At 36.6% G+C, this 13,370-nt stretch overlaps 1 protein-coding gene across 1 annotated transcript in view; it reads left to right on the forward strand.

Moving 5' to 3' along the window:
• ITGA1 (integrin subunit alpha 1) overlaps window positions 1-13,370 on the forward strand; it is a 171,294-nt gene that overhangs the window by 129,293 nt on the left and 28,631 nt on the right. The window contains exons 16-21 of the mRNA NM_181501.2: window positions 1,524-1,690; window positions 3,124-3,260; window positions 5,569-5,679; window positions 8,070-8,279; window positions 10,376-10,456; window positions 12,417-12,493. Of these exons, the coding sequence (NP_852478.1) occupies window positions 1,524-1,690; window positions 3,124-3,260; window positions 5,569-5,679; window positions 8,070-8,279; window positions 10,376-10,456; window positions 12,417-12,493 (783 nt within the window). The remainder of the gene's footprint in view (window positions 1-1,523; window positions 1,691-3,123; window positions 3,261-5,568; window positions 5,680-8,069; window positions 8,280-10,375; window positions 10,457-12,416; window positions 12,494-13,370) is intronic.

Genomic DNA, 13,370 nt, shown 5'->3' on the forward strand with positions numbered 1-13,370 from the left:
GCAGCTTCATGCCTGGAGAATCCATATTACTAAGCAGGAAACTAGGCATGTTCATTCATTGCTGATGAAAGGGTAAACTGGCTAAAACTCATTCGAAGGTCTTTATCAATAAGTGTTTAAAAGCATTCCAATGTTCCTACTTTTTACCAAGGATTTAACTTCCTAAAAATGTAAAGATACAATCTAGAAGTACAATTAAAGGTGTCATCACAGCACTGTATGTAATACCATCTTTTAATAATGTTAAATTTACCACTATACTCAGAAACCTTTTTTTTAAATTAAGCTAAATATCCAATGAGATGGGATTGAATGCATAGATTATGGTATGTGCATATGCTGGTATAGTCTGCTTCCATTAAAAATAATAAATCCCATTAAAAATAATGTTCTCAGAAAAATGTAAATATTGGAAAGCTGTTCATTGTAATATAATGTTTTAAAAATTTGTAGGCATACATATGAAGATGTGCTTTTGTATATATGTATGTATGCATGTGTGTACGTGTATGCATGTTTTCTTCTGTAAAGAAAAAACCACTGAGTGTACTAAATGTTAATGATGATTATTGCTGAGTGGTAGTATAACAAGTTATTTGTGTTTTCTTTATGCATTTCTATGATGTTTATATTTTCTATGAGTCCATTGTTTTAACAGAAAAAAGAAAACCACCTTTTTTTAATGCAAAAGCATAAGTAGTGACCTCATTATTCACAACATACACAGTTATAAGGGGCTAGCTCTGGCCACAAGGCAGAAACCAGGTAAAAATGTGCAGTAATTGTTCCGGCTTGGATCTAAGACAATGACCTCAGTATCCATATATTCTCCATGTCTGAGATCTTACTCTGATCTCATTTTGGATTAGTAGACATTACTGGGCTTTCGAGTTAAAACGACTGAGTTTAAAATCCCAGGTTTTTCCTCTTAATAGCTTTTGACCTGGCATAAAATATTTAACTTTTCAGAGCCCCAGTTATCAAACGTAAAACAAAAAAATGATGTTGCTTATAATTAACCTTAAGAATTAAATGAAATAGCATCCATGTCTAGCACAATGCCTCAAATGTTATTTTGCTTTTCCTTCCTAGAAATAGAGGAAGAGCTGAACTCACAAGGACAGACAATATTACAGTCCAGACAAGAGATAGCAGGGGTCTACGGGCTGTTCAGGGACCTTTAGACTTCTTTCAAATTTGGAACAAACTCGTAAATCCCCAAAATACAGTTGATTCTGGGGTTTCACCTGGACACTTGATTCCATCTCTTTTCCATCACAGGAAAAACTAGATCTTTGGTGTTTGAACCAAAAGCCCCAAATGGTTTCCAAATATAACCTACATGTCTTAGAACATCAGATATAATCTCTTCTGTAACAATGATTAATTAAAGAAATGGAGTCCTGAGCGCTGTATTATACATGAAGCAGAACCCTCTTCCATGCACTCACTTTGCACTCCCAAGTTGATGACATTCATTAAATGTAAAAATGTGTGAGTAATCCCATTGTTTTTGTTTGTAGGTCCCGAGATGTGGCCGTAGTTAAAGTGACCATGAATTTTGAGCCAAATAAAGTGAATATTCAAAAGAAAAACTGCCATATGGAGGGAAAGGAAACAGTATGCATAAATGCTACAGTGTGTTTTGATGTGAAATTAAAGTCTAAAGAAGACACGATTTATGAAGCTGGTAAGCAAAATAATTATAGCAAGTACTTTTGGGTAGAGGACAATATATTTGCTCTAGCATGATGAAGTCCAGTAGGATATTGTATTTTCCCCACATGGTGAGCTGCACGTCATATTTGCCCCAGTGAAGATGCAGAACCTTGAAAAAAAATTCTGTTGCAAAAGGAATAGGTTATGGAACCCAGTCAATTCTGGAGCAGAAATTACATGTTTGTATGCAGTGCCCTCAACACTCCATAGTTTCTGTCTGGCTCTCCTACTTGCTATGTACAATGAGACGCTTAAGAAAAAAATACCGATTCAGAGGTAGAGTTTAGAAATTGAGCTACAAATGGGCCCAGTTTTCCTTCCTGTAGGTTTCTACCATGACTCTTCTCTCCCTTCTCTTGCCCCCTCTTGGGAAAGACTGATATTGCAGAGAACCCTAATACTTTACCATTCCCACATTTCCGAGATCCTTTGTTCCATTGAGGTGACCCTAGTTTCCGAGAGTCAGACTTGTTCTGTGTGTGTGTTCTCAGGTGCATCAGGTCAGCCTGTGCTTCCTCTTCCTCCCTCCGTTCTCCACTTTCTAAGGCAGCTTTTTAATGATGTTGAAATATGCTCGAATCAAAGCTATAAAGGCCATTGGCTAAAGAAGAGAAATTTACTCTGTAACCAAATACAAGCAGAATGAGAAAAGCCATTAATCCTTAAAATCTGTTTTTCTTGATTTGTTCCATATGTGCATGTATATGCTCTGAAATAGCCTCCTGACTAGAAAGATCAATGAGGTATAAGAACATAAAATAATGATTTTGAGTTTTATATGTAACTTTATTTCAGTCTTATTTAATTTTTGCAAAGTAATTAAGTGATCAAATAAGGAATATTGTAGCCTTCATATACAGTGTAAGATTTCATTTATTTTCTTTATTGTGGTATGCTTATTTTATTGAACCTTAATAGTGGTTTGACCATAAGCTGAGATAATGTCATTTTATATATAAATAGATTAAAATGTATATATTTGTAAATAAATAACTAAAGTATATTTTTGTCCCTATTGAAATATAACATAATCAATATTCTAAGCAGGGTTCCAACATTTCTAAACTTAAAAAGAATGTTTTAAGTGAAAATATAATAAATACAGTGGTGGCCTGGCAATTAGATGATAGGCAGGTGTGCATGTGTGTATAAGAATTATAAACAATAAATGTAATTAGACACTGAAAGCACAGTGAACTCAGAGACCAGTTCTATAGAGTTCCTCAAGGTTATCTTCATGACTGCTAATATCATTGTTATAACAGTGTGGATATGCTGAACAATAGAATCTTTTTTGATTGATTGCCAAAGAGATTTTTCTATAATGCTAATTTAATAATCTGTACAATATGAGAATCACTTCAAATAAACATTTCCATCAATTATTTTTTAAAATTTTTGTAGATTTGCAGTACCGTGTCACCCTAGATTCACTAAGACAAATATCACGAAGTTTTTTCTCTGGAACTCAAGAGAGAAAGGTTCAAAGGAACATCACAGTTCGAAAATCAGAATGCACTAAGCACTCCTTCTACATGTTGGCAAGTAAATCATATATCGTTGCTGCCTTATTCCAAATCAAGAATACAGTAGAGATGTCTTATTTCAAGTCAATCAAATTCTTACTGTTTTATTTCAAAATGCACTTATGATGTCATAAAGGAAATCTTGTTTGTTCATTTTTATCATAAAATCGCAGGTCTAATTTTCTCATTTCCAAATATTTGTAAAACTATCTCTAGTCTTCCCTGTCTGCATTATCAGACATCCATATATTATGGAACGGCAGGAAAAGACACAGTGTTCTAGTTGACAAGAAACCTTATTCATGTCTTCATTTCTTTCACTCATTCATTTATTCCTTCAACTTGAAAACATTTAATTTCTGTGGGCCTTGTCTGTCAGTTGTGGTTGGTAAGTGATTAACTGCTCTGGGGGCAGACTGCTGGGCTGTATGCTTTCTGGGATCCATGTAACTACATATCTCGCCGTTTGATTTTAGAGCGAAGGGGAAAATTATCTGGTATTTTCTATCATCTGTAGGCTTTGTGCTACTTCAGTTTTTTTTTTTTTTAATTTTAGTGGATGAGGGAGTTTTGGAAATCAAACTATTAATGTTTAGAGATGGCTGGTAAGCCAGTGTGAATCATTTAAAATGTATTTTGTTGGGACACTGTGTATATGGGGAATGTTCCCAACAGAGGGCAGGAGTTTCCTAAACATTTTCTTAAAATGTACATGAGAGTGATAAAAACAAGAAGCAGCATGAAGGTAATGAGGAAACTGATTTTAGTAACTGACATTAAGACTTAGAGACTTGACGGTAAACTTGGAGCTTTAAAGGAACCAGGCCAATTTTCCTACTTCTGACTTATTTCTGTATTATTGATATATTCATAGTCTGTATTTTGAAAATTGTAGTTCAGGGGCAGGGGAGTGACAGAAAATGTGCACCCTTTTGTGCCACATTTGTTCTTCCTCAGTGATTTTCATGTTGATATGCTTCATGATACTTATCATGAAGCTTATTCTGTCAGGACCAAGATCAATCTATTATTTGGTAAAATAACACTGGAGTTGCCCCTCCTATTTAGTTAATCAGAACTGAACACTTAGGAATTAGAATGTGGATAAAATTTGAATGGGTATGAAACCAGATATGGCATTGTCTCCAACCTGCTAAAAATCATCTCAGTCTATGTTTGTCCACAAATTCAGTGTCTAAGTTATGTCCAGGTACTGGTGTTTAAAGGACTGAAATATTTTCAAAATTTCGAAAATTGTTTTGGATTTTGAAAGAAGCACTTTGAAATTTGTTCTGGAGTCAGCCAGTGTAGAATTTGTATCCCAAATATTCCACATTCTGAGAGACTTTGGCAACGTCGTTTGGTCTCTTAGAGGGTCAATCTTTCATCTGTAAAATAAGGACAATAATAGTTACTCATCTTAGAGGACTGTTGAAATAATTTGCAATAATGTATATAAAGCTCATAATTTTGAATACTATAAATGATTATTGTTATTGGTGGCATGTTAACAGTATTAATCATATTCACATCCTTTCCAAATAATTTTACATTATAAAATTCTTGGCCAGGCATGGTGGCTCACGCCTGTAATCCCAGCACTTTGGGAGGCTGAGGTGAGTGGATCACCTGAGGTCAGGAGTTCGAGACCAGCCTGGCCAACGTGGTGAAACCCCGTCTCTACTAAAAACACAAAAATTAGCTGGGTGTGGTGGCACATGCCTGTAATCCCAGCTAGTCGGGAGGCTGAGGCAGGAGAATCACTTGAACCTGGGAAGTGGAGGTTGCAGTGAGCCGAGATCGTGCCGCTGTACTCCAGCCTGGGTGACAGAGAGAGACTCTGTCTCAAACAAACAAACAAACAAACAAACAAACAAAAACTTATAGCTGTAGGTATATATTATATTAATGAAATGTAACTCATTTTATAGAAAGTTTGCCCTTCTGAAGTTGGGAAATGTTCCCGGAAGTGTTACATAATGATCTTTGGCTTGAGGTCTCAAGAAAAACTATATTGTGATGCAGGTAGCTCCTATGTTGACACAGCCAAGTGTGATGTTGCCATCACTCCAGCAGGGCCCTCTGAGGAACTGGAAGTGAGTCAACAGGTCATACTCTGAAACCTCCACATTCCCCTATGCCCCTTGTCAGAATGCCAATCCCTCTCCAGGGAAGCAAAAGCCTGATGAGATCATATGTCAGATTAGATGCACAAGAATGCTGCAGTAAGCCTGACCCTTGGGAACAGAAGAAGGAGACATAACAAGATCAGAACACCCGGTAAATATGATACCAGTGATATATTTTATGTTTCACCCTCTAGGACAAGCATGACTTTCAGGACTCTGTGAGAATAACGTTGGACTTTAATCTTACCGATCCAGAAAATGGGCCTGTTCTTGATGATTCTCTACCAAACTCAGTACATGAATATGTAAGTCAGATTTCTTTAAAATACAAAATACCAACTTGTGAACATTTTAATGTCACTAGTAAACTGTGTTTTTTCACTACTCTGCATTGATCACAAAGAACGAACAACTAACTGGAAGAAAGAAAAAAAAGGCAAGCAGATTTTATTCCTGGTCAGGAATGGAGAAAGAGGGAGCTCTTGCTCTAAAGACCTTCTCTTCAAGCTGTGAAAACCTGGGGAATTTTAAGGAGTTAGATGTGGGGCAGGGAGGTATATGTAAGCATGTCCAGAGAGGAACTCCAGATGTACAAGTACAGCTCATAAACATGCTTCCTTATACAACATATGTTCAAGAAATGGTGGCCATTTTCTTCTATGGCAGGGACTTTAGCATTATAATGACATGTTAATGATCTAAAGGTAACAAGGGGTTGCTGGTTCTTGTTTGCTCCGTTTTCTCAATGGCTTTATCTTCCTCTGGTAATTGGCAAAGGGTCCTGAAGCTCCCAGGCCGTCTATAGTTGTTTTTCAGCAAGCTTACCTACAGATAAATAGACTAGAAAAAAAAAAACTGTTTAAGAAAAAATAATGCACTTTCTCAGCTATCTACTGTTTAACAAAATAATGAACTTTCTCAGTTATCTACTCTTCAAGAAAATAGTAAACTTTCTCAGCCATATCTCCAGGTTTGCCCTGGTAACATTAGGAAAAAGCTTGAAACCCATGCACACATAACCCTAAATCAATTTAAAATGTTTTAAAAAAGAATTAGGCTCTTCTAGACTTTTTCCAATCCTTCTAATTTCCTATTGTTGGAGTTTAAGAAAACTAATAAATGACACTCATTTTTACCTCATTTGAATTTAGGACCAATGGAAAGAAATCTCCCCCATTATTCTAATAAGCACTGGATTGCAGTGTATGGTTTAGGTATAAAGGGTGTCCTCACGCTGAAGCATGGACTTAGACCACCAGTAACCACCTAGGTCATCAGCAGTGCTGATCCATCTCTGTCCTTCTTCATGGAGCCCACCTTGTAAAACTTGTCAAATGGAGTAGAGCCAAATGTGTGCTTCCTGTGGGTACAGCTGCTCTGAGAATAGAAATGAGAGAAAGGGACTGAGTTGTGTTCACTTAGTTCCTGTTCCCAAAGTTAGAGTCCATGTGCCACCCCTGAGAGTGGAGTGAGGGGAGAGAAGAGGGAGGGTGTCACTAGCGTGGCTCCAATGGAAGAGATATGAGGGATGGGGAATTCTTTTTCCCCATACACCTATCTTCCATTCTCCCTTCCTTCCTACCAGATATATTGATTGTCTTATACATACCAGGCATTGGAGCTTACAGTCTAACACTGGAAACAGGTATTAAGTAGTAATTAGAGCATATGCTATGGAGGAGGATTTCAGAGCTCTCTAGGAACTTCCACCTAGGCTGAGAAGTCAGGACAGCCCTCCTGAAGTTGTGCCATTTCAGTGGAGCCCTGAAGGATAGGGTGATTTCCACCCTATTTAGGGGAGTTTGGGGAGCAGAGGGGATGCTAAGTGTGAAAGTCCTGAGCATGAAGGAAACAACGACATTCGCTAGTGTGGCTGACGCTAAAGAGCAAGAAAGGAGGTGACGTGAGGTGAGGCCGGAGGTAAAGGCAGGGGCCGGGTCATTCGGGACTTGGTGCCACTGCACAAATTCTAAACTTTTGAAAGAGCAGTGCAGTGCTTTTGAAGGTTTTTATTTGGTTCAGCCACACGACAGGATGCAGCAGAGTGAAGAGTGGTTGGAGGGAAACAGGTGGATGTGGGAGCCCCGTGGGAAGCTATTACTTTAGTTCAGGGAGGAAATGAGAATGCTTGGGTGTGAGGTGGTGGTGGGACTGCAGAAGCAAGAAAGGATTGGAGAGATATTTAGAAGAGGAGTAGAATGGACAGGGCTTGGTGAGTTACATATGGTGGTGGTGGAGAGGCGGTCAATGAAGAAGAATCAAGCAAAACTCCTAGATTTGTGGCTTGACCGTTTTCCACCCTCTCAACTGAGCTTTATGATATTCCTAAGTATTTGATTAATTTTAAGAGAAAAATCTCATGATTAGAGTTGAGTAGATTTAGATCTTGCAGTACTTGACTTTGTATTTCAAAACTGTCCTTCCCTGGCAGACAAAAGCCAGTGCAAAGCACCCATGAAAATTGTGCGTTCTTAAAAGGACAAGCACAATTTACATTTGTAAGTAAATGTTTACTCTTCTCCCCTATAAATTACAGGGATAAATATAAAATCCCTTAAGATTTTTGCAGGGAAATTCTCCTTATGAGTTGCTTAACTTACTTTGGCTGTATGCCATTTTTGTTACACAAATTGATGGGTAATTTTCAACAATGCGTAGCTAAATTTTGAAAAATTCTTTCCTGTCATCATTTCAGATTCCCTTTGCCAAAGATTGTGGAAATAAGGAAAAATGTATCTCAGACCTCAGCCTGCATGTCGCCACCACTGAAAAGGACCTGCTGATTGTCCGATCCCAGAATGATAAGTTCAACGTTAGCCTCACAGTCAAAAATACAAAGGACAGTGCCTATAACACCAGGACAATAGTGCATTATTCTCCAAATCTAGTTTTTTCAGGAATTGAGGTAAACTTCCAGTTTTTCATTTATTTGTTCTCTTAACATCATTTACCTGGCCTACTTTTCATGCTACTGAGATAATTGCTTTTATTAGATTGATTTTGAAAGAATAGAAGGAATTTTTTACATTAGTCCTCACCAATGGTGAAAGTATTAAGCTTTTTAAAAAAGTTTTGTTTTATTTATTCAAATATGTATGTCTTTTCTTAGATTCTGTGTGAGAAAAGGATAGCTCATGTATAAAAACTGTGTGTTTCATAAAATCCTTAAACCACTGAAACTGAAACAGAGTCAAGGAAAATAATAACAATCAAAGCCAAAACAGTTAACAGACGTACAGAGAGGTACCTCTGTGTTAAGCAAAAAAAATTTACCTGCAGGAAAATCAAGATACCATATCTCCCTTTCTATGCAAAATCCTTACTTTGGCAAGATATTTGTATTAAATAACTGTGTCTTATTGATTTGTAACAGAGGTTTCTTTTATTACATTGGCAATAAAATATATTAATCTGTGTAAGATGCTATATCAGAGGTAATCAGTGTTTCCAAATGTGAACTTTGCTCTTAATTCTGATCTCCAAATGAATCCCACTGAGTTAAAATTTTGTGTATATTTATATTAATTAATATTACATACAATTTATATTAAAAGCAATGCACTTATTAATATTATACATAGTATTAAAACACTATTGTCTACTTTCTGTAAACTCAGATTTCATGGACGTTTCTCTCTATCTGTTAGGATATCACTTAGAGACATGATGACTAAGACAAACCTAAAAATAATGTCATATATTACTATATTTTGGATTCAACTAAGAATATTAATTACAGGCTGGGCATGGTGGCTCATGCCTGTAATCCCAGCACTTTGGGAGACCGAGGCGGGCAAATCACGGGGTCAGGAGATCGAGACCATCCAGGCTAACACGGTGAAACCCCCTCTCTACTAAAAATACAAAAAATTAGCAAGGCATGGTGGCACACACCTGTAGTCCCAGCTACTCAGGAGGCTGAGGCAGGAGAATCACTTGAACCCGGGAGGTGGAGGTTGCAGTGAGCCGAGATTGCACCACTGCACTCCAGCCTGGTGACAGAGGGAGAACAAGACTCTGTCTCAAAAAATTATTATTATTATTATTATTATAAATACAAATGTACAAAGTAATCTTGGGGAAAATATTACCACAGAATTTTTCTCTAGTAAAAATTATTGCCTGTATCCTCCTATGCTGACTTAATGGCCTGGCAGAGAGGCATAGCTAAAAAATCTGACAGTGCATCTCTTCTGTGTATATTAACAGTAACAACAGTAATAATGATGGCAACCATTTCTTGAGTCACATCATGGTTTAGGCCCTGTACTAAGGATTTCACTTATTTCATTTTCATTAATTCTTTTGTAAGTAGGTATGACTGTACTGCAGAGATGCGAAGATAAAACCTTTTTTTCATGTTTCAACATTCTTGTAATTGCATTTTACAATTGATAACATGTTTATTTACGTGGCAGTGTTATTTTTACTTCTTATGGGTATGTAAAAATAATGGCATATCTCATGTTCAATGGCATTTTAAACTGGAAAAAATAGAGTATATGACTAAACCACTTGATAGAAAATCAGTCCCAGAGAGGTGAGGAATCTTAACAAGGATAAAGCTAACAGTGGTGCAGTCAGGGTTTAAATTCTGGTGGTCACGGGTCAGAGCCTATGCTCTTATCCACTGCACTAAACTCCTCCAATGACTAGCATTCACTGAAGACTGCTCTGCACCAGTCTTGGGTGTCTGGATTATTTTATCCAGCCACCGCAATCACTCTGTGAGGGAGGTGCTATTAGTACTTCCATTTTACAACTGAAAACTTAGGTAGGATTGTGAGATATGCTTTGTCTTTCAGGCACCCACAAGTGATGTTTTAGGATTTCCATGAGTGTAGAACAGCTGGTCCCAGAATTCTGTGCCTCTTCCAGCTAAATCGAGACAAAAATAGTGGCAAGGCAGTCACCAAGACACATCTGGGAAAATTCTGAAAGAACACGTATCAATATTTCACCTGCTTGTCCACTCTGATTCTGTTTGCTTTCTCTTCCTAGGCTATCCAAAAAGACAGTTGTGAATCTAATCATAATATCACATGTAAAGTTGGATATCCCTTCCTGAGAAGAGGAGAGATGGTGAGCAGATCATACAAAATACATGTAGAAATTGAATATGAAAAGTAATATGTGCAAAGACAAATATATAAATCCTTCCAATGGTAGTTTAGGATAATACGGATGAAAAATGTTCAGTTCAAAATTGTGACAGATTGGAATATGCTATGGTCAGAATGTTTGTGCCCCACCAAAATTCATATGTTAATACTTAATCCCCAATGTGATCGTAGTAAAAGATGAGGCCTTTAGGAGGTCAGTAGGTCCAGAGGGTGGAGCCCCCATGAGGGATTAGTGTCCTCATACGAGAGGCTTGAGGGAGACTGCTCACCCCTTCTACCATGTCAGAACACATAGCAGGTGCCATCTATGAGAACTGGGTGTTTCCAGACACTGAATCTGTTGGTGCCTTGATCTTGGACTTCCCAACCCTCAGAACTGTGAGCAATATATTTCTGTTATTTATAAAATGCTTGGTATAAGGTATTTTGTACAAGGTATTTATAAATAACAGAAACATATTTAACAACCTTGTAACAATTCTTACACAGGCAAACTCGAACACCAAGACAAGATTTAAAATTTATACTACATAACATATCTAATTTATACTACATAACATATCTGATAAAATGGAGCTGGGAAATTCTGTTATTGGAGTCTCCTAGGTAGTAGGTGTCTCTGGCCTTCAAGAAAAAGAATGCTTCAAATAGATTGGTTTAGAACTTAATCAGAAATTCTCCTTCCATCTCTCTCTTTCTAAAAAAAAATTGCCTTATTGAGATATAATTCACGTAGCATGGAGTTCACTCGTTGAAAGTGTGTATTTCAGTGGGTTTTAGTATATTCACCAAATTATAAATTGTACAGTCATTACGACAATTGATTTTAGAACATTTTCACACACCACAAAGAAGCCACGTATGCATTGGCAGTCACTCTGTTTTTCCTCAACAGCCTTTCTCCCAAGCCCAGGCAACCACTAACCTGCTTTCTTTTTCTATGGAACAAATTGAATTTCCAAATATCAATTGACTTTTATTGGCAATTCTAGAATCAGGCAACACCTTATTCTGTAAAATAAAATGAATGGTGGATGAGCTGAGGAGAGGAAGTTGACTTTATAGAGAGAAAAGGGCTGAAGAAAGCAGAAACAGAACGAAAAGTTGATTGGTCATTTCAAAGTTATTTTCCTTGTAAAAGTGAAAGCAGAGGGGATTTTCTTATCATGCTGTTTGAAACTGGCTTGATTGGGGATTTGGTGATTATCTCTCACTTTTCTCATCTCCCAAAAAGTCAGACAAATGACTTAATTTCGGCTTTGTGGTGTGGAACTTAAGCATTATTTAGTCTGTTGGGCCTAGAGCAAGAGCTGTCCAAACCAATGACCTCCTATATGTTTTACTTAACATGTTTCTTAGTCTATTCTGGCTGCTATAACTAAATACTATAAACTGAGTAGCTTAAAAGCCAGAAGTTTATTTCTCACAGTTCTGGAAGCTGGGAAGTCCAAAGTAAACACACTGGTAGATCTAGTGTCTGGTGAGGGCCCATTTCATGCTTCATAGAAGATGTCTTTTCAATGCATCCTGAGATAGCAGAACCAGGAAGGCAGCATTCTGAGTTACAAGGGTACTAATCCCACTCATGAGGGCTCTGCCCTTATGATCTCATCACCTGCCCAAAGGCCCCATCTCCTAATATCATCACATTAGTGTTTAGGTTTCAACACATGAATTTTGAGGGGAAACATTCACATTATAGCAATATGTAAAACATGGTAGACATTCACATTGAAAAAGAATATGTATATTATATGTTATTCTATCTATTTTGAGATACAATAAGGTTTCATTTTGTAAGACAATGTTTCTCAAATAACTTCATAATTTGAGTTTAGGTAATGTCATTTATGGAAATTGAATATTTTAGTCAAAGTAAATTTCTTATCTGTTACTAAAGACATATTTTTATTTTATAGGTAACTTTCAAAATATTGTTTCAGTTTAACACATCCTATCTCATGGAAAATGTGACCATTTATTTAAGTGCAACAAGGTTGGTTTACATGTGTATAAATGTATGTATATGAATGTATATTGCTTCTTCTGTGTATGTCGAATATTTTGCTCTATAAACTCACTGACAGTTTCTTCCAGGTTGTAGGAGATCAGTAGAAGTGGAAGGCAATTAACCACTTTGCTTCACAAAAACACCCTTAAGAATAATTAGCAAAATAAAGAAATTTTCATTTAATAGAAATAATTCACCTAGATTAAAGCAATGGTTCTATGAGCTATAGAAGATACCATAATCACACATCATTTATATCTGCCAAATTGCATTTAAATTCATAAAAAATTTACTGATAATTTAAAAACTTTCACTGGCTGCCCATCAAGGTCAAATGAATCATTAGATGGACTTAAAGTTTTATGATATCCTTTTGTAATTTAATATACTTTATTCAAATCAGTCAGTACTTCTGAAAGGTATCATAGAACACACAGACTAACAACAGCAAAGGCTCAATAAGGAAAGTGAAATAGTGGTCTAACTTTCTTCTAATTGTAATTATCCACTGACCTGTCTGCAGTGAGATGGTGTCTTTTACTGTTTTATTCACAGTGACTAGCATTGTGCCTGCCATATTATAATCACTACATAGATGTAGACGAAATGAATAAATTAGAGAAATGAATTAATGGATTAATTAATTCTGTATGTTCAAGTCAACTCAACAAATATTTATTTGACATCTATTATGCACAAGATATTGAGTTAGTCACTGTAAGGAATATAAAAATTACTAAGGGCATGAAACTCCTCATAGGGTAAGTATTACAGTAGGGGGTTGAGTCTAGTATAAAATTATTGTAACCTGGGATAGAATAAAAACACTCCATTATAGAGATAGAAAGCTTTGTCAGAAAAT

The sequence above is a fragment of the Homo sapiens genome, chromosome 5 (assembly GCF_000001405.40).
Source record: "Homo sapiens chromosome 5, GRCh38.p14 Primary Assembly".
NCBI classification, from domain to species: Eukaryota; Metazoa; Chordata; class Mammalia; order Primates; family Hominidae; genus Homo; species Homo sapiens.